This window comes from Homo sapiens, chromosome 8 (assembly GCF_000001405.40).
Source record: "Homo sapiens chromosome 8, GRCh38.p14 Primary Assembly".
NCBI lineage: Eukaryota > Metazoa > Chordata > Mammalia > Primates > Hominidae > Homo > Homo sapiens.
In genome coordinates, this window is record NC_000008.11 from 134,798,117 (window position 1) to 134,821,324 (window position 23,208).

A 23,208-nucleotide genomic window follows, 5' to 3' on the forward strand; every position below is an offset into this window, starting at 1 on the left:
CCATAACATTTTCCTATTGGAAATCGATGACAAGAGAAATAAATCATAAACAGGGGAGAAGCTAAATAATTCATGCCAAATGCTCACCAAATAATTATAAGATACCAAATCTTCAAAATTCACAGAAAAAAGTTCAAGTTTAATTTCAGAACATATCCCAAAATTATCAAAGACATCCAATTTTACATTATGTTATCTATTAATACCAAATGGCAATATGGTAAACAAGAGGGGAAAACTGAGACATTTTAACATATATCCAGATTTCATAACATTTAAAACTGATAAGCACACATTAATCAGAAAATATGTGATTAGAATATATTTACTAAAATTCTGTAACAATTCTAATAAATATACAGTGTTTTAAAAAATGAAGGCATGTACCTTCCTGTAAGGGTGGGAGACAGCTAACTGTAAGTAGAATGTTTCACTGCATTAATTCAAACAAGAAAAATACTCAAATTTTCACTTAAGTACAACATAGTTTCATGTATAGCTTCTTCTAAGAGACAAAGTGAGGCAAATCTGATAGCCCACATGATCAAAGACCTTATTACATAATCAGGAATGTATGTAATATAAAGATATAAACATATGGCCATTAAACAAGAAGAAAAAAGGCAATGAATTAAACACTAGAATTAGGAATTTAACCTACAGGCTATTTTGTAGCCTAAACCACATGCATATGCTGAGTATTTTTCACATCTAGCATATGAAAGAAAAATTCTATATTTTATGCACTGAGGTTCAAAAACAAATTGATGGGCAATTCCCAAATATGCTTAATTTGGGAGAAAAACACTTCATAAAACTACCTTTACATTATATGCTTTGTAATGCATTGCAATATGTTTCTCAAAGTACTATAAATTATAAAATAATGTAAAAATTTGGCAAGTTTCAAATTAACATGTGGAGCTCACTAAAACATAGTATGCTATGCACCTAAGTACAGAATAAAACAGCTCTCTCGTAATGACAAAGAAAATTAACAAATTATTCATTAAACAAATAAAATATATAATTAGAAAAACAGCACTCACCTTCAACAAGTCTCCATGCTTTCATTTCACATTTTTATTTAATCATGTATTTCTCATAACATTTAGACATCTTCCACAGGAGCACCAAGCATGAATTCTAATTCTGGATTTAGGCACAGGCAAGAGCATACAGACACTTGCCAAGCTGCTAGGATGTGTGTACTTCTTACATAATTTTCGTTTTATACTTGTTTGTTTTGCTTTTCACCTATACAGAATGTGGATGTATCACCAAAAAAAGAAAAGGCAGGCTGATTTCATGGAACTGAAAAACAAAGCTATAAAAAATTAATTTTCAGTATTTTAAGTAAAGACATGAAAATGGAAATAACGTTTAGACCAATCAGTACATATATAGAACTAATTATCAGGTATTAGCTTATTTTTAAATTGTTACCTCATTTAGTCTCAACAATCCTATCAGGTAGGTGCTATTATAATTTCAATTTAGTCGACTGAGGAAACTGAGGCACAGAGAGATTAATAACTTCCCCCAAAGTAACATAGCGAAGTAACTCGCAGAATCAAGATATGAGCTCCAGAAGCTGGGATTCAAAATTCTTTGCCACTATATTACAACAATATCAAAGATTCAAAGCATTTCCATTAAACCAAAAAGTTGGCATCATCTTTATTGCAAAAATAAAAACAAGTTATGTCTGCTTTAAGCATTATGGCAACTATTTACTGAACACCTACAACACAGCATTAATAATAACTAGCATTTATTGAGTACTTAATATGACAGGTACTGTACTAATGAACAACTTTATATTCATCATGTAAGTCAATCCATGCAATCACATACTTATTTTACAGATGAGAAAACCACTGAGGTATGGAAACAGTGCCTTTCCCTCCTCCAAATCCCGTAGCAAATTCACTTGTGGAGTCCAGATGGCAACAAATGTCTGATGTCAAAGCCCATGCTTGTTAAAGCACACTGCAATACTACAAACCCGACCCCAACTACCAAACAAGGGCATTCTTTTGTCCCAATACCCAGAGCCTTATGTCATGTTAGTGCTATAGCAAAATTGAAAAGATACAATAAAAATTTAAATTGAGTAACAAATTTAAAGGAATTTTAATAAATTTAGAGTAATTTTTCCTCTATAAGCATACTGTTTTTCTGTTTTAACTACTCCTACTGCAACCATGCTTTCTTCTGCTTTTCTCTGCAAACATATTCAAGTAGATCCCTGCCAGCTAGACAATTAACACACTTTTTCTCTGGGAGAACAAAATGGTCTCACATTTCCAACAAACCTTTAATTACATTAATTACATTAAAAATTCAAGCCTCTGTATACTATTCTTGCCAAATCTTTTATCAATGTTAATTGGTTGACATTCCAAGTCAGCTGAAGTAAACATCCACCTCCCAGCCAATCCATGTATTACAGCTGAGTGTAGGATGTTTACATGAACTGAAACTTGGTTTAAAGCAGGACTTAAACTCTTTACTAAGTTTGTACGGTTCTTTACGTAAGACTCTGTTGAAAAAAAGAACAGGCACAGCATTCACATAAATGAGGCAAGACTCAATCGGAAAGATATCCTGAGAGAAAGTGTAGAATCCAAGGAAAAGGCAGAAGTGAGTTGGGTGTTTGTTTTTTTGGAAGTGGGGGCGTGTCCAGGGCAGTGGGGGGCACTACAGGCACGCTACTATGCCCGGCTAATTTTTCTTATTAATAAAATTTTTTTTAGAGACAAGGTCTCACTATATTGCCCAGGCTAGTCACAAACAAGTGATAACGTTTTTCACCAAAGGAATTTACAACAATAAATGCCGACATCCTGTAGTGTTCCATATCTAAATGTAGCTGATTATCCAGCCTTCCTATATCCTTCCCTTCAAAACAATCAAACTTGCATTTATAAGAACTTACTTGATGACCAGTATGATGCATCAACCAATCTTCATTAAGAAGATTCCTCCTTTAGGTAAAAGACAGTTAATGAAACACTGTGAGGAGCTTAGTCATCTCTCCTCCCCCTCAACCCTCTCCTCATCTTCTCCCCCACATTCAGAATTCAGATAATTTCATCTCAGGCACATCTTTCCCACACTCTGATCTCTTTCCACCTTCTACTGTTCCCAGTGTCATTAAGGTGTCTCAAAGAAATGTCTCCCCCTCTTTTTGCATTCTTTCTGATTAAAAATATATTCCCACAAATATCTCCACTAACTATTATCAGTGGTCCTACCAACACACTTGCATCAAAGAAGAGGAAATCTTCAAATTTGGAAGTAAAACTACATATAATAACCACTGCCAGCAAACTTTAAAAATCTTTGGCATTTCACAGGTAACCCAGGACTTTCAGGAACCTCGCCAGTCTCTACCTAGTCTCTTGTCCCTTCGGGCTGTTTTCCAAAAGCATTGGTTCTCAAGATTAAATACACATATACCTCCCCGCCACCCCACTCTACAACCATACTGCTTTTCTGTTTTAACTACTTCTATTACAACCGTATTTTTTTCTTCTGCTTTTCTCTGAAAACACATTCAAATAGGCCCCTCCCAGCTAGACAATTAATATACTTTTTCTCTGGGAGAAAAAATGGTCTCACATTTTCAACAAACCTTTTTATAATCAAACTTCTGGATTAATACATGTTTTTAAGTTAAGGATTTTTCTGTTTTACTTCATGTATTAATTGGGCATAATATCTAGCAGGAAAAGAATGTAAGATGAGCTCTGTGATTCTGAAAGCATGGGCCTAGAGGAGCAGCATCAGCAGTACTTGGGAACTGTGGGGGGAAAAGCACATTCTTATGTTCCACCCCAGACCTACTGAATCAGAAACTTTTTTTGCAGGGCCCAGCAATCTGTGTTTTAATCAATAAGCCCTCCAAGTAATTCTGATGCAAGCTGATATTGAACAGCAATGGACTGTTTCACCAAACCTGTTGGAAAGCTAAAGCAAAGACAGCAGTGAATGTCAAATTACTAGGAAGTTTGTAATATGGTACAGATAAGAAAAAGGCAATGCCAAAACATGTAGCATGGGTCCACCCACAATTAACCAGGCTAGGCAAAGTGTGGCAGAGACTATCTGAAACAGCCTTATTTTAAAAAGTAACTAAGCCCAAACTGATATTCAAACTAAAAAAAAGAAACAAAAATATTACCTGAGCACACACAGCAAATAATGCACATTGATCCAATGAATAAAGCTGTAACAAGAGTAGAAGGGAATCACAGAACATGCTCGACGCAATACCACATGCATGCTGGGGTTTATAGGTTCACAGTCCATTTCTGGGTAACCTCAAGCCCATGACTCATGTAGAAGGAACTGAGGTGTGGAGATCAATGAGAACAAGTCCAACAGTGTATTTATATGACTATTTCTAACCAAGAATATTTGTACAAAAGCATCTAATTTGAAATAAATTGGAAGACCCAATTTTGTAATTAGTTATTTGCTTTAAAAAGTTGTCCCTAAGTCATTTCAGACCATATACTCAGGATAAAATACTGTCATTTACAGAATGGTGTTCAGTAACTAAAAATGTTTTACTTTAAATATCAATTGGTAGAACAAATCTTAAATAATAAGTAATTTCTGTGCTTTCTAAGTCCTATCAATGAATACCACAATTTTTTTCTTCAACACTAAGTTAAGGGCTAGGGAAACAAGTTATTACAGGCTTATTGACAAATACTGATGATCTAACATTTCAAGCCATTTGCTATAAATAATCAATTGCTAACCTTATAGGCCAATGGGAAGTTAGTGGTTCTTCAATATAAAAACATAAAGAAGCCATCTGAAAACTACTAAAAAAGGCTGTACCTATGTATTATACTATACTGAAGCAAGGGCATCCAGAATTAAAACTGACATCGTCTTTGATTCACCTCATTAGAGGCAGAATAATATAGAACAAATGTTACATAACACAGATTGCCCCATTAATCTGTAGCATCTAGGGATAACTGGCCTAGCTGGGCAGAGTATAACAGCTTTATTATAAAGAATGCCTACCCCCTCATTTAGCTTAGGTTTGGCCTTATCATTTTGAAAAACCTTTCAAATTTCACTGCATAAATTATGCATCCATCTTACTAAATTTTAAAGCAGTATATCAAAATTTTTCATAAGAAATAAACAGTGTCACCTGGTCAAACAAAATAATCCTATTACCACAGAACACATTACATTCTACCTTTGGCAGGGAAGACTTCTGAGCTCAGCAATAACTATCCTTTCACTGCTATTTGAGTCTAAGGTTTCCAATGTGCTAAAACAGAGGGCCACAGAATATGCAATAAATCTGCTTTATTTAGAGTTCATAGGAAGGGATGCTTGATGCATGCTAATCATCCAGCCTGAAAATTGTATTTACAAGTTGGAAAGCCACCTGAGTCTGAAGCAACTGACCCCCATCCCCAAATAAGTCTTATAAACTACTACTCTAACAAAAGAGCATTTAAAAAATAAAAGCTGTAGCACAAATACATCTGGGGTAACTACATTATGACCAAAACTGTCATTTGCTCATCTGGATAAAAGATAAGAGGCAACAGTAGACACTGCTGCAATAAGATAATATAAAATCATTACTAAAGTACTATACATGCAAGGTGCTTTACTTGCTGTTTATAACAGGAAAAAATAGAATTATCAAGATTTAATGTCTCTGACCTCAGAAAGCTTATAATCTAATCAAAGAAAATAAGCATGTAAATACATTAGATTGGCAAGACCTTTATCTTTTGGTGGTTTAATCATGTATGGAACCTAACATAGTATGTTTAGCAGTTTAATAAAAATAAATGATTTAAAAAAACCAATGCTTTATTGAAAAGAAAAATGCCAATAAAATAGAAATGTTTTCCAGTGTCTGAAAGACTAACAGAAATAAAATAACAATTTTTTAAAACTCAGAAAATAGTTGCTATAAAATTATACATTATCAATTAGTCCACACTGAGTGTCATCTGTGAGAAAAGCCCTGGATTATTCAGATCTGTGGGGAAACACAAAAAATAGATACAATACAGCTGCTTTCAGGGCAGCTATATTTTAAGGAGGAAGCAATAAATCTGAAAGCAACAATCTGAAAATACTTAGGAAAAATATTAATATAAAAAGACATGCATACCCATTAGCAAATGTAAACAGGCTTAGTGGCTTGACGTCTTGCAGTTTTTCTTAGAGGAGAGTTCTGATTAGGAGCTGTAATATCACTCAGGGTGAGGGGAACAGGAAGTGGGGGGCTAAGAGGACGGAGAAAAATGTTGCACACACATCTCTTTTAAGTATAGGGAAAGCTGAAATTTCTAGATTGCATACTGCTGGGTGGTAGTGATGAAATTATTCTCCAGAACTTCCACAGAATTTACAATGGAGAAAATCAGTCTCCTGAATTGTTGGGATGTTAAACTCCAGCCTACTTGGAAAGGTTATAAAGACTAAAATTTCATTGACAGGGCAGAAACAGGAATAGGCGGTGACACTTTTTATTTAACTAAATTCTCTAAGGCCCAGCAGCAGCACGCTAAGTCTGGGAAGCTCGAGACGGCATATCCTGTTATTAGGAGAGCACCCTACATTCAACTATCATAATACGTGCACTGTCAGTGCAGTAAAAGAATGCAGCTAAAGATTTCTGAGGTTTTCCCACACATTTTATAGCCTCCTCAACTCCACTCCGGGACAGAATTATATCAAGAGGATGTCTGTGAATAGCCGGTAGCAGCAAACATCTGACTGAAAGCTTAGCTGTGTCTTACAGCTTCCAGTCGGGGATGTTTACAACAACAGACTTTCTGAACAAGAAATTTAAGAGGAGGAACAGACATAAATGTTGCCAGTCATCATCTTCAGCTAATAATTTATATAATTTCTAGTGCTGAACAATAGCTGTGACATCTTGAAACAAAAATGATAAAGTTAATGCTAATAATTAAAGAGAAAGTGGTTCACCAAGTGCAATTTCTCCTAAATAAATCTAATTTTAAAAGAAAATACGCATTACAAATTTATCTTGGTAAGTATGAAACATTAAAGATATTACCCTGATATCCTACATGAGGATACATTTTTCCAACATATGCAAAAATAAGTTTTCTTCTCCCTAGAGTTTCAAAATAGTAAACACATTAGAATGATAACCCTAATGATCAGTGACCATACATTTCATGGATGCCTGCTGCCCTGACGTTATTGTTAAAAATGACTCCTTTTATTTAAAAAAGCGTTAATTTAGTTGACAATGAATAGAGTGGGTTTTCCTGGCAGAGGATCTAAACTGAGTAAGAATCTAACACTTTCTTCCCCTGTCTCCAGCTGATTTAGGTTAGGGATGTACAGTTCAAGGAAATGAGCAAAACAAAGAGGATAATAAAAGAAACTCATGATCTTAAATTTGTTTATAAGGCAATATACTAAAACCATTTTGTTTCCACACCACTTTTCTGAAAGAAAGGAAAAAGACTAAGTGAAATATAAGTAAATCTGCATTCCATCAAAAACCAAGATTTGCTTTAATTTAAAATATGTAAAATTGCCAGGCACAGTGGCTCATGTCTATAATCACAGCACTTTGGGAGGCCGAGGCAGGTGGATGGGTAGATCGCTTGAGTCCCGGAGTTCAAGACCAGCCTTGGGCTAAGTGGCAAAACCCTACCTCTAAAAACATACAACATATTAGCTGGGTGTGGTGGTGCATGCGGTCCCAGCTATTCGGGAGGCTGAGGTAAGAGGATCCCTGAGCTTGGGAGGTGGAGGCTGCAGTGAGCTGAGCTCATGCCACTGCACTGCAGCCTGGGCGACAGAGTGAGACCCTGTCTCAAAAAAAATAAAAATAAAAATAAAATAAAATATGTAAAGTAACCTTCTTTTGGGGAAAAAAACTATGAAAACAATTAAAGTCCACAATTAAGTCACAGTGATTTATGAAATGATTTAAGAAATGAACATACATACATACATGAGCATGCATATGTACACACACACTCTACAGAATAACTACTGAAGAAAACCAATATACAAATTCTGAGAGACTATTAATTTCCTAATACCAAATTTTTTGAGAAACTATGAGAAAAGGATTTCAGTTGCTGATATTTACCCTGTGATAATATTTAACGGTTGCTCTCTGAAATACTTTTTGTTTAATGTTGTAAATAACTCTACCCATTATATAAATAATGCTGGAAATAATGAGGAAAGTACATGTGGTCTCTATGGATACAAGATGACCTTCACTGTTTTTGAAGAAAAATACTTTTTTAAAAAGTCCAGTGGCTATTTACAACAACAACTATTCAAACTGTACTACAACTGAAACTTTCCAGATTTAAATCAGGAAAAAAATAGCTATTTCATGCCTAGGTAGGCACATGATACTTGACTAATGAGGATGCTGCACATTAAGTTGCAATAAACCAGTTACCACAAGTCTCCAAATCTCCCCTTTAATTTACCTTCCTGTCCTCAGTTTAATTTTTTTAAAGACTGATCAAAAGACATTTTTATCAGAGCCACTGTATTTAACTCACACAAACAATACATAGAATATTTTCTTCAGAGTTATGAAGGAATTTTGTCAAATGCTATGACTTTGTATAATATATTCTTGAGGAAACATGAAAATTAAATGTACAGAAGTTGAATATTAAGTATATGTGATAAGAAACCCTATTATAAAATACCTTCTATCATTATAAAGTATCTTCTAGACACAATCTTTGTAATAATACACAGTAAGAAGGTAAAGTCTAATGAGGGGATAGCTGAAGCTAAAGGTTTACCATTTTTGGCATGCTTTATGATTTCCATCTTTGTCAAAAACATTACATATTTGCGGGTCAATTTTCTATCAGCATTAGCATTTTACTTTTAACACATTTTTATAAAAATGGGCAAAACACACATGCATACATACAATCTGCTGTACAGACAAAAAAATGGATATTACTGAGCTACTGACTGGAACAGTGCTACTGGTTCAGTAACTGGAAATGTTTGTCAATCTATCAAAAGCAGTTTATGAATATCCATATATAATGTATGCCATGCCACATTTGCCACAGATTCTGTCCTACCACAGATGTCTCAAGTACAATGCTGAAACCAAGTTAGATACCTAAACACATCTCTTCCTATGTGACAATCCAGAACGAATACAAGCCATTATCTCCCAAGAGTATTGTTGTAAGAGAGTTTTACTGGGTTTATAAAATTTTACCAGAATACATAAGAAAACAATTAACAGGAAACAACATTTTGTAACTTAAGATAAATATTCTGGAAAAAAAACCCTCAAATGAAGTAAAATTCTGAATTGGCCTAGATTTCGCATCCCTTAAATCTATTAATTAGCTGAAATTCAGTGATGTCTAGGAAGGCTGTCAGAAATGGTTGGCTACAATTTGACTCTGAACTCTGAAATAAGGCAGGGCAGCTGGGAAGGTAAACACAAAGAGTAGTAGCAGGGTGGTGACAGGGAGAAAACACTTGGCAGAAGGCAAGAATTCACAAACCACCAGAAACCGACCATGGAGCAGAAAATGCCCCCAATTACATGGAAAAAAAAAAAAACAAAAAACACAGATACTCCCAAAGAGACTCTATTCTTGTTTTCAATCCATTCAATAATAATTACCATTCTCTATATATCCAATGTTAAATAAATAGAGCAGAGACAAAAAGAAAAAGAAAACATTATCTAAATTAATAAACTTAATCTACTTGAAAAATTTATAAAATAGAAGGGTGTTTAGGACAGAAAGATGAAAAGGCTTCCTGTTCTATAAGGCTTATTTATCATTTACTCATTATTACTAACTGCCCTTTGTAACAAAAGCTTCAAAGTGTTTTTATACATTTTCTCATCCTTATGCAGTAACTACTTTTAAGGGTAGTAGCAGAGCAGATGATAATTCTATTTTACAGATGAAGAAGAAGGTACAGATTGGAGAAACGATTTCGCTAAGCTCACATGAGTAAGGAGCTGAGAACAAATTGTGGTTTCCCTGACATGCACATGCACACATGCAGAAACGTATGTAGTATGTGTGTGGATGTGAACGCTAGGCCCTGGGAGAAACAAAGACGAGCAAGCCAAGGAGTCCAAGGAGGGCCTGTTCTGTGATTAACAATGCTCACTGCCTAGAAGGTTGAGACTAGGAGACCAGAGACTCAGCCTCCCAGGCTGCTGACTACCAGCTAGCTGTGGATTAGGAGCACAGCACTTACTCTTTTGCCTTTATTTTCTTGACACACAAAATGAGGCTTAGGCAAAACAATTTTAATTCAGTGGGAAAAATACCAAATCCTGATCAGGCAGGCCCACTATCTAGGAACAACCAAGTACCTGGTGACTCTGAAGACATCTAAGCCCAGCACAATGAAGTCTGTAAGATCGTAGCAAGAGTCACAGGGAATGGTAACGTCTGCAGTCCCATCTACTTTGCCGAATTCTGAAGACACCTGAAAACAACCAAATGGAACATGAAGATGAAAGCACTGTGAAACATACTGTCCAACAACAAAGTACACTTTAATCATCACCATGACATCTTATTTGTACCGCATGCTCACACCTTTTATGTAACTAGATTTTTACAGTGATAACTGAGAAGTAGGCAAGATGGGTACCATTATCCCTGCTAAACCCAGCTATAATCAGTTCTGCTATAATAATGAATATCTGCTTTCTGAAGTATCCATTTCAGATGTTGTGACTATAAGACTCAAATTAATTATCAAATCAAAGTTTGCCTAAGATACTATAAACAATCAAAATATATCCATACTGTGAAGGATTTGACAGCTAGACTGTTTTTAATCCTTCCCCTACTTCTGTCACCTCTAACAGGAGCACGTCTCTTCTTGTGCTGTATGAGCACAGTTCAGATACAAATACCCTTTGGTGTTATTGGTGCTTAGACCTGTGAGGCAGAGAAACACAGCTCCCCTTTCTCCACAATTCTGAACCAAGCATCATCATATACTCACACAGCACACAGCCTGATCTAGGCCAGTGGTTCTCAATGCACTCTCCTAACCAGCAGCGTCAGCATGGCTTAGGCAACTGTTACTAAAGTAATTCTCAGACCCCCACCACAGACCTACTCCATCCAAACTAGGGGGATGGGAGCCAGCAGTCTGTTTAACAAGTACTCCAGGTAATCCTGACCCATACAGAATCTTCAAAACCATTGATCTGAGCTTAGTCTATAGTCTCAATAACATGCCTAAAGCCTAATCAACAACACAGCCTTGCCGTTCGGGTGACCAGTTTTCCTAAATAGTATTTTAAGAAATTGTTCTGGTTTGTCCGGGACTGTGAGGGTTCCTTGGACAAGAGATTTTGAGTTTTAAAACCAGGACAGTCCTAGGCAAACAAGGATAATTTACCTTAATTGTGATTACAAATCAAAGCTGAAACAACTATTCACTTAAAATGGAGTGATGCTATTACAGACTAAATGCATATTGCATTTTGAGTGGAGGGCGATGGTAACATTAAAATCCTAGGATGCATGAATGGATAATTTTGTTTATCATGTCGGTAAACTGTCTGCATAGGAATGCTTCAAACCTAGAGGGGAGGTGAAGTGGGACAGTGCTTTGAACAAAAGGATCAACTACTTTTTATTAAACTATAGGGCATTCAGAATTTTTGTTTTCAAAATTCTCTGACCATAATTGAAACCGACAGTGAGTTGAATAGTAGCCAGTACCTTCCTAGATTCTTGAAACAGTGCCCACTCAAAGACCTAGGTCATAAATATAGTAAAATTTGTCACCACCAACACATAGAGCTAACTGAGTGTTAAGACCACTTAGAACAAGAGAATCTGAGTGGGTATGTAGCCCCACAGCACTCAGATAACTGAAAGGCAGAGATCCTAAACTCTGCTTTAGAGACTTAACTAAACACCATGAACTACACCCAAAACAAAACTGATAACCACTATAGATTCTATAGTGCGTTCCATGATTCATACATACAATAATACATTTAAATTTCCAAGAATCCTGGAGGGTAGCACTATATAAACGCAACCTACGTTTCAATAAGTATATTTAATTTTCAAAGTCCACACCTGGAGGAAAATTGCTAACTTCAGTCTCAATATATAAGCAAAAAGAGATTTCAGAAAATAAGGATTGAAGAGACCTTAACTGTAAACCTCATTGACAGAGAATATGTGTATAATGTCCAACGGATGCCAGGCTCTGAAGCAATTCTTATTATGCACCTAATTTCAAAGCAGTTTTAATTTTCTGAAATGCATTTTCAAGCTTTTCTAGTAAATAATCTACTTCACGCTCTACTTGAGAAAAAGAATCCTCTTTACAGACAAGTGAGATAAATGACTCTCCTACCAATTTATCCTTCATAAAGTCTGACTATTTATACTGTTTCCTGGAAGAGGCCACACCTGTTCCTTCAAATCCTTGTCCTTCCACTTATAACTAGCTATGTAATCTTGAGTAAGTCATTTAACCGCTCCACACCAGTTTCCCAATCTGTAAAATAAGAAAACCCTACAACATAAAAGAATAAAGCTCTCACAGAATAGTTGTGAATATTAAATAAAATTATGTGGTACAAAAACATTTGAAAACAGTAATGCAATGTGCAGATGTTAAAAGCATTTACAGATTGCAGCCACACTTTTTTGAAAACCTTCCCCCTGAAAGTCTGTATCTGAATAGTCTGCTGACCATGAGGGGCATAATCTGTGAGTACAACAGAGTTCTTCAGTTATATTTGACATGGTATTAACTAACATGGGGGGGAAATCAGTAACACTAGCTAGCACCTGAGTCACTCGCTACATCTTCTGAAAAAGTTTTAAACAGTAAAAGAAAAAAAAAAGCATCAAAAACACAGAAGAGAGAAACAACCGTCAGTTAATTAATAGAAGGAAATAGTACACAGGGACCAAAAACAATTTAATTCTGAACAAAGCCAGTGAGATATGTGAGTGGAAAAAGAATGAGTATAAAATTATTAATTTCTTAATTCCCTAAACGTTTCAAAAGAAAGATGATGTGACAAATAGCTAGAGAATGAAGGAATGATCAGTAACAGAATTAAGATTATCGTTTTTATACTTCAAACAAATTTGACAAACATGAAACCATAAATGCTGAAGACTGGGAAGCACAACTGTAAACACGTCTCTGATGCAGGGAACTCAAAAGGGTACTCAGTCAATCCCAGGCAACAAAATTTGGAATATAAGGTGTGCATCTGGATATAATTGGGGATATCTGCATAATTTCTAGTAAGAAAGGTAACAAAAACGCCAATAACCACAATACCATTATTCCCAGGTCAGAAAAAACAAGTACTTCCATAGTGACAGAATGATAGGGGAAACAATGTATTTGGCAAGGACAGGCATGTCTGTTTCTCTTCAGCCTTTGAAATGACCAGCAAACACAGCATCCAGAGTCTCTCACAGCAGCAAAGTGATCACATGCAACCTTAATAGTATAATTCTATTAATGTTTTGAACTCCAACCCTAGAGCACCCATTCTTTTAAATATCTTTAGGAATGATAATCTGATAGTCTACTGATAGGAAAGCAGTATTAGATACCAATTAAAAGCATGGGCTTTACAGTCTGACAGAACTAGGCCAAACATTTGACTTTGTGAGTTTGAAAAAGTGGCTTTACTTTTCTGTGGCTATTTGCCATCTGTTAAATGACAATTTAAAATACCTATCTTGCCTGTGATCCTAGCACTTCGGGAGGCTGAGGCGGGTGGATCACCTGAGGTCAGGAGTTCGAGACCAGGCTGGCCAACATGGTGAAACTCTGTCTCTACTAAAAATACAAAAATTAGCTGGGCATCATGGCAGGCGCCTGTAATCCCAGCTACTCGAGAAGCTGACACAGGAGAATAGCCTGAACCTGGGAGGCAGAGGTTGCAGTGAGCCGAGATCGCACCACTGCACTGCAGCCTGGGCGACAAGAGCAAGACTCTGTATCAATAAAATAAAATAAAATAAATAAAATAAAATACCTATCTTGGAGGGTTATTATGAGGATTGAATAAGATAATGTAATGATCATCAAATGCTAAGCTCAGAGGCAGGCACATAGCTAGTATGCAATAAATGGAAACAAAGATTCTTTACTTCCTCTTAACAACTTAATTCACATAGCTTTTACCATTTTTAATTCTTTATGTTTCACTTTTACAAATCCTATTTATCCTTCAAGGACCAGTTCAAATGCCAAACTCTCTGAGAGAACTTAACTAATAAAACCAGCCACTTAAAATGTATTATACAGCCAGGCGCAGTGGCTCATGCCTGTAATCCCAGCACTTTGGGAGGCCAAGGCGGGCAAATCACTTGAGTCCAGGAGTTCGAGACCAGCCTGCCTGGCCAACATGGTGAAACCCTGTCTCTACTAAAAATACAAAAATTAATTGGGCATGGTGGCACATACCTGTAATCCCAGATACTCAGGTGACTGAGGCAGGAGAATCATTTGAACCCCTAGAGGCAGAGGTTGCAGTGAGCCAAGATTATGCCACTGTACTCCAGCCTGGGCAACAGAGCAAGACTCTGTCTCAATCAATCAGTCAATCAATCGTATTATAGATATGCAGCAACAAACAGTAAATACATGGTGCTTACTATCTCTGAGGCAATGTTCTAAGTGTTTTATATATATTAACTAATTTAATCCCCATAACAACACTATTAGGTAGGTACTAGTGTTATCTATCCTCTTTTTGTAAATGAGAAATGAGAGACAGAAAGCAATGTACCCAGAGTCACAAGAGCATTGGTAGACTGGCTTCAGAGCCTACTCTCTTACCTGTGCTGTACTGTCTGTGCTGTTAACTGAGAAGGATGATTAATTATTGCAAGGAGATATTCAAAGAACTGACAGCTTTATATTTAACACAGCTGGAGATGTTTTCTACACAGGCTAAAATCACTCACTTTGGATAGCTTATTCACCCTTTCACAGAAAATACTTGCAAAGTTCAGTTTCTTGATCTGCACAAAATAAAGATGAGAAAACAATAATTCATACACAATCTGGTTGTATTTTTATATCAGTTTTATATTTTAGGCTGCTAACTTGTGTTCAATTTTCTCAGTTCAAATTTCTAAGATTCTGGCTGCCTTCTTCCTAAGGCCCAGGACATGGATAACCGAGATGGGCAGCCTTATCCTCATGTGACCAAAGAGACAGATAATACCAGATCACCTACCACATTAGATTGCTAAAGCTATTGCCATCTAATTCTTTTTTTTGAAACAGAGTTTCACTGTTGTTGCCTAGGCTGCAGTGCAATGGCGCAATCTCAGTTCACTGCAACCTCCGCTTCCCCGTTCAAGTGATTCTCCTGCCTCAGCCTCCCAGGTAGCTAGGATTACAGGTGTGGGCCACCACGCCCAGCTAATGTTTTTGTATTTTTAGTAGAGACGGGGTTTCACCATGTTGGCCAGGCTGGTCTCCAACTCCTGACCTCAGTTGATCCACCTGCCTCAGCCGCCTCCCAAAGTGCTGGGATTAGAGGCGTGAGCCACCGTGCCTGGCCTGCCATCTAATTCTTTATACAACTATAATATAGTCTTCAGGAATCACTAAATATTCTCAAAAAGGTATGCCGTTTTGATTTTATACACACACACACACACACACACACACACACACACACACGTCAAAGATACTTCTTTATAGATTAAAAAATATATATATTATTACTCTTTAAACAAAGGGAGGCTCAAGGGTATGGCAACAAGTCATACCCAAAAATTACAATTATGAACATTCTTTGTGTGGGAGACAAAAAGTTAATATCTTTCCTTTTTAATCAAACTTTATAACACAGAATCAAGAGAAAGAATAAAACACACGTGCCCAAAGGATAATGTTTGGTTTTTACAGAAAATTATAAGCTCTTGAAAGAGAAAGGGCTTACAAGAAAACTACCATTTTTCCCTAATTATAGTAGTGCTACTTTATCTACTTGTTCTATGAATGTATTTTTGGTACCTTGTTTTAAGATTCAGAATATGTTATAACATCAACAATGAACTCATGTGCTAGCGTTCTTAGGAATGGCTATACTTCAAAATAAAATACAGTAAAAGGAGCCAAAATTAACAAAATGATAGCTGTTTCTCAATTTCCTTTCAGGATTTTTCAAAATACAACGCTTAATAAAACCTACCTCGCTTAAGAGAAGGAATACATCTATTCAAGACCAACTATTCTTATATTAGTCTCTAACCAGGTTTCTATTTAAAATAAGACATGCTGTCATCATGGTGACTGTCAAGATAGGTAGGTCTTACTGGTCAGACATGGATTAACCCACTAGACCTGATGGATCATGGCCTTCAAACTGGCTTATGGCTGGGAGGCAAACAAGTGCAAGAAAGGCCTAACAGCCAAGGCAATATAATATATATTAAATTGAAATGAGAAGCCAAGGACATTCAACTCTGTATGTAAACAGACTCTAAACAGGGACACTTAACAGACACACCCATCATGCCCTCCACAACACACTAAGCTTGCCTTTATCATATGATGCCTGCAACTTGTGTAGCAACTGTGTTTACTTGTCTGTTTCCACACTAAGGGAGCAACTGTTTGACACATCCCAATACCCTAAGTCCAAAGATAAGTGTGAAACAGCATAGATGTAAAATAAATGAGCAACAGAGAAGGCAGCAGATACAAAGCAAACAGATGTCACTATCTTCTCTCATTCCACATTTTGCCTCAAGAACCTGTCATCCTACAACTAGAAGAATAGTAAAATCCAGGTTTATTTTTTAAATGTTTAAATAATGTGAATCACTTAACCCCTTTGAATCTAAGTTCCCTCTTCTATAAAGGAAAAAAGACCAACTCTTAAGGTCCATTCAGCTAAATAATTTCAAAATCCTATAATGAAATATATTCTGGCAATAGATCCTTGTTAATATTAACTTAATGCTTCTATGTGATCAATCATCATGCTCGTATCTGAAACCAGAGTTGTACTTTTTACTGCTATGCTAGTCAATTGCCACATGGACTCATAAAAGGAAAACAATCCACAAAGCACTATTTTTGAAAACATCTGTAACATCTATAATTGCATAACAAGTCTTAGTAAAATTAAAAAGATATAAAATGGTATTTGCTCTAGATAACCTAGACTTGCTTTTGCTAGAGACTTGCTGGGATTTTTTTTAATCAGGGAAAATAAATTGTTTACCCTCATGTTTCTTGGCCAACTAGAAATCCAAGTTGCTAGTATTTAGTTTGCTAACGTTTCACAGCTAAGTTCACATTTCTGAAAGTCCACAGCAACATTTCCATCTAATGATCACAACACCTCTGTTTTAAAACCCTCCAGTGGCTTCTCTCTGCACCTAGAATAAAATCCATTCTTCTTATTGTGGCTTGTAAGACCCTACACTAGCTGGTCCTCTCTGACTTCTCCACTACTTGCAATCAGCACCTCTAGGCTTCATTCAATTCTCTCAATTTGTCACATTTTTCTCACTTTAGAGGCTTTGCACTATCTCTTCTCTCTGCCAGGAAACTTTTTCACTCAGATCTTCACATGCCTAGTTTCTCCAAAATCCTAAGGGCATTTCTACTCAAATGTCACCTTTTTAAAGAGGTCTTCCCTGACTACTTAGTCTGAAGTGGGCTTTCACCACAGCAATTCTTTATTACCACGCACTCTTTGATTTTCTTTACACTTCTTACTACAATCTGAAATTGTTTAGTTTATTCCTTTCCTTGTTTATCTTCCTCTTCTGTCAGAACAGCCAACATAGAGGCTCTGTAAGAATAGGAATGTTGCCTATCTTTTCACTCCTCTAATTCCAGAGTCTGGAACAGTGTCTGGCATATAGTGAGTGTCAAATATTTACTGAATAAATAAAAATATAGTAAAGGGAGCTGCATCTATTTAGCAGCACTAGTCCAGGCTCTTTACACAAAGCATCTCATTTAACTTCATGACAATTCCACAGGAGGTGGATATTACTCTACTTTACAGATGAGGAACTAGGACTCAAAGAAATTAAATGACTTTATCAAAGAAAGAGACTAGCATAAAGGTCATACCTAAAATATGAACCTTAACTTCTCTCCCAAACTTCCTATATCTCTGTTTTTGGTAACATGTCTATTTTGCCAATTATGCTCTAAATTGACCTAGAATTTTAATCTCTAAAATATTTAAGGACTGTTACAATCCTGTGATGAAAAAAACAACCAGAACATGGCCCAGAAAAATAAGACAAGACTCTTGAAATGAAATTGCCATTTCTGTCAGATGATTCCAGTAAAAAGAAAAAAAAAAAAGTGAGAGATTAAGTAACAACATTAGGACTTTTCTTTAAAAAATTCGTATTTTTAAAGGATACGTCTAAAAATAGAGGGTAATCCTAATTTCAAATGAAAAGGCTGCTAGTCATATGAGTTTAATAATGAAAAGAAGGCTAAAGTATTTTTTAAAAAGCAATAGTGAACTAGCATCAATCAGAAACTGAGCTTAAAAATGCATACCACTGGCCAGGCACGGTGGCTCACGCCTGTAATCCCAACACTGAGAGGCCAAAGTGGGTGGATCAGGAGGTCAGGAGTTCGAGACCAGCCTGGCCAATATGGTGGAACCCAGTCTCTACCAAAAATACAAAAATTAACTGGGCATGGTGGTGCATGCCTATAATCCCAGCTACTCAGAAGGCCGAGGCAGGAGAATGGCTTGAACCCGGGAGGCGGAGGTTGCAGTGAGCAGAGATCATGCCACCGCACTCCTGCCTGGGTGACAGAGTAAGACTCCATCTCAAAAAAAAAAAAAAAAAGTATACCATTTACAAAAGTATTTTAAAATATGAAATATTCAGGGATTGCAATGATATTAATAGTTAATTTAATGTGTCAACTTGGCTAGGCTATGCTGCCCAGTTGATCAAACACTAGTCTAGCTATTGCTATTCTGTAGATGTGATTAACGATAACAATCAGTTGACATTAAGAAAAAGAGCTCTCCTCCATAACATGGGTGGGCCTCATCCAATCAAATGAGGCCTTCAGAGCAAAACCAGATAACCTAAGGAAGAAGGAATTCTATCTCAAGACTGTAAGAGAAATCCTGCCTAAGGTTCCATCCTGCCTGCCAATTCTATGAATTTTGGACTTGCCACCCACCACAATCACGAGCCAATTTCTTAAAATCAATCTCTCTGTCTCTCTCTCTCTACACACACACACACACACACACACACACACACACACACACACAACGCACCCTTATTGATTGTTTCTCTGCAGAACCCAACTTACAGAGGCATATACGAGACCAAAATATAAAAGACTTGCATCCTATAAACTACCAAACATTACTGAGAGAAATTAATGAAGCCCTAAACCAAGTGCTATACCATGTTCATGGGTCAGAAGACTCAATAATTTTAAAATGTCAATTCTTTCCAAATTGACCTACAGATTCACTGCAATTCCAATCAAAACGTCAAGCAAGCTTTTTAAAAAAACTGACACTTATTCTAAAATTCATAAGGAAATGTAAAATACCTAGACTAGCAAAAATAACTTTGAAAAAAAGAAAATTGGAAGACTACATGATTTCAACACTGAATAATCAACGCAGTGCAGCACTGGTGTCAAGATCAACAAATACCTCAATGGAACAAAATCGAGTCCAAAATAGAACTACTACATATATAAAGTCAACTGATTATTCACAGGGGGAAAAGGGAATTCAATAGAAAAAGGATAAATTTTCAACAAATGGTGTCTTAAGAACATCCAGATAGAAAAGTTTTCTATACTCAAAACTTAACTCAAAATGGATCACTATATTTAGATAGAAAACCTAAAACTACAGGGAGAAAGCACAGGAGAAAACCTTTGTTGACCTTGAATTACGCAAAAAAAACATTTTTAGATACAGTACCAAAAGTACAATCCATAAAAGAACTGATAAATTAGATATCAAAATTAAAACCTTTGCCCTTCAAAAGACATTGTTAAGAGAATGAAGAGACAAACCATAGACTGGAAAAATATTTGCAAATCATAAATCTGATAAAGGATTTATACATAAGAACCCTCAGAATGCAGTAAGAAAACAACCAACCAGATTTTTTTAACGGGTAAAAGATTTGAACAGATGCTTCCCAAAAGAGAAAGGGATGGCAAATAAACATATGCAAGGATGCTAACCATCAGCAGTCATTAGAGAAATGCAAATTAAAACCACCACTACTCACTAATTAGAATGGCAATAATTAAAAAGACTGACTGCACCAAATGATAGCATAATGCTGGTGGGAATGTAAAATGGTACTGCCACTTTGGAAAACCACTGGCAGTTTAAGAAGAAACTAGGTAGGTATAGAACATATAGCTACCATATGATTCAGTCATTCTACTCCTAGGTGTATGCCCAGAGAAATGAAAAGTTTATGTCCATACAAAGACATGTACATACATATTCATAGAAGCTTTACTTTAAAAGTCAAACACTGGAATCAACCCAAATAGATTATCAAAAGGTGAATGGATACACAAAATGTGGTATATCCATACAATGGAATACTACTTACCAATAAGAAAGAGTAACTATTGGTGCATGGTACAACACGGATGAATCTCCAAATAATGCTGGGTGAAAGTAGCCAGACAAAAGGAGTGCATATTGTATTCTAAGACATGCATGCCAATGTAAAGTAAAAGAAAACAGATAATGGTTGCCTAGAGAATGCAGGGGAGGGTTATCAAGGGACATCAGAAAACTTTTGGGGGTATATGTTTAGTGTCTTGACTGTGGTGATGGTCTCATGGATAAACACGTCAAAACTTAACAAACTGCACATTGTAATATATGCCATTTATTGTATAACAACTATATGTCAATAAAATTGTTTCAATAAAAATAGAGACTTGCCGAAAGTGTTAAGGACAATAAAAAGACTTAAATACATTCTCAACAACAACAAACAAAAGCCAGGTTACTTACTTGCAATAAAACTGCTAACAGATAACCTACATAATTGTTTTACTCCTGCCTTGAATCGGTCTGGGAGTGGGAAGGGGAAGAGGAAGGGGGTGAAGGAAAAAAAAAAGGAAAAAAAAGAATGATCTTTTAATCTGTGAAGGATACGGATTAAAAGAAAAATCAAAGTCCAAGATAGGAAGGAGACAGCAAAAGAAAAGTAATCACTTTTAATTCATGTTTATAGGTCAAGAAAAATATTATCCCAAGACATTAAATGTATCTGCAGATTTGGTAATTTCCAAGGAATCACAATGAAACGCCATGAGAACTGCCGGATTTACCACCCCCCCCCCCCGCCCCCCAACACACCACAAAAGCTCTGATTAATAAGGAACTGGTTTCTCTGACATTACATTTGCTCCCGCTCCTCCAATATTCTAATTAACTACACCTTCTCTGACTTCTTTCTGGGCTCCTATTCCACTTGTCCCTTAAATATTGGTGCTCTTCAGATCCTTGTTCTACTTCTAGTCTCACTCTTCAACAGGGTTTACAACCTTCCAGGGGAGTTTTTGATTTCCTTTGATAATATGATGAAAGCTAGGGACCAGAACAATGTATATTTACATAAAATTTTACATGTAATTATTTCAAAGGTTTCAAAACTCTTCTGAACCTTGGCCATGTATGTATTCCTTAGCTTCTCACGGGGGGAAGAAAAAAAAAAAGATTCCTTTTGGAATCCCAGCCAAGGTTTTGTTTCTTTAAAATCCCATGCAGAGTGAGAAGCACACATAGACATGACAATGGGAAATTTAAATGCTCACAAATAAAATTCACATAGAATCTAGGACATCATGATATCTTTCTGGATAATAGAGAAACAGTTTAACTGGGTATATTCTTAGCTTGCTATTAAATGCTGATTAATAGATTTATGAAGGAAGCTTATAATCACAATTCTGTAGAAGTTCATCCTCTTAAATGTTTGTTTTAAAAAAGGTGATTTGAATGAGGGCATAGAAAATATGCCTATCAAATTTTGGACAATAAGAGGTTGTGACAGTGAGTAGTGGATCACAAACCCAGGGTTTAAAACATATTGACTGATTCAGCCTAGGGATGAGATGGAGGTCAGGAAAGATCCTCAACTTCAAAGATCCTTATGTAATATTACTCTCCTTTTCCTCAACTCCCAATAACCTGTGGAAATGTAATACATCTACCAAGACTGTAAGCTCCTTTAGGACAATGCCCAAGTCTTATCATCATCATACAGCACCTTGAGTGATGCCAGTATCATCGCTTGAACTATATTCTGCTATGGTAACAAATGTCCAAAATCATGGTGCCTTACAGCACAGTATTTATCTCACACTTATATGCTTATCACAGATTGGCTTCAGCTCTGCTCCATTATTCTGGGACCAGCCATAGCTAAGTCATGCTGGTTCCATGACAGAGGGTCAAGGGCCACTGGCAGAACCACAGGATGAAAAATATCTGCTCAAACATGGGACATGTCACTTTAACATTTTATTGGTCAAGGAAAGCCAAATGGTCAAACCTGATGTCAACAGAATAAGAAGTATAATCCGACTACAGAAAGAACCCTGATAGAGAGAAGCAATAAATATTTTTGAAATAATAGTCTACCACAGTGCCTTCCTTATGAAAAGTGCCTAGTAATTGGTAGTATTTATACACCAGATCATAAACACAAGGATAGAGACTGTAATGTGTCTCGCCCCTGACACACCAGCACCACATGGTGCCTACCATATATGAATGGACACACTAAATGCATATTAAGTGAATGAATAATGATGAGATGAGCATGAGATCTGGAATCAAAAAGCTTGCAATGAAGTTCTACATGTGCCAATTCTAGACTTAGTGGAAAGTCAGTTTTTCTGATTCTCAGATGGTTGTTGTGAAGATTAAATAGATGTGAAAACACCATGAAAACTGTGCTATTTTATACAAATGGTGATATCTTCAGATATATAAATTCATTTAAAGTTTTATAGTAATGCAATACATAATATCCTACATTTACTTTCAAAGCATCAACTGGCAAGTAAAGAGTGACAAAGATTAGACTTAAAGTAATTCACATGAAAAAAAGACAAGGTTTTAGTTGATTATAAGCTGAATGTGATCAAAGGGTA

The 23,208-nt window shown here is 36.2% G+C and overlaps 1 protein-coding gene and 2 non-coding genes across 3 annotated transcripts in view; all 3 read right to left on the reverse strand.

Annotated features, from left to right (window-relative positions):
- Positions 1 to 23,208, reverse strand: part of ZFAT (zinc finger and AT-hook domain containing) — a 354,552-nt gene that overhangs the window by 320,329 nt on the left and 11,015 nt on the right. Inside the window, exon 2 of the mRNA XM_047422062.1 lies at positions 1,050 to 10,503. The gene's annotated coding sequence lies outside the window, so the exon portion shown is untranslated. The remainder of the gene's footprint in view (positions 1 to 1,049; positions 10,504 to 23,208) is intronic.
- On the reverse strand, positions 2,404 to 2,491 carry MIR30B (microRNA 30b). The gene has a single exon (NR_029666.1). It is a non-coding gene; the product is annotated as a microRNA 30b (primary transcript).
- MIR30D (microRNA 30d) lies at positions 6,760 to 6,829 on the reverse strand. The gene has a single exon (NR_029599.1). It is a non-coding gene; the product is annotated as a microRNA 30d (primary transcript).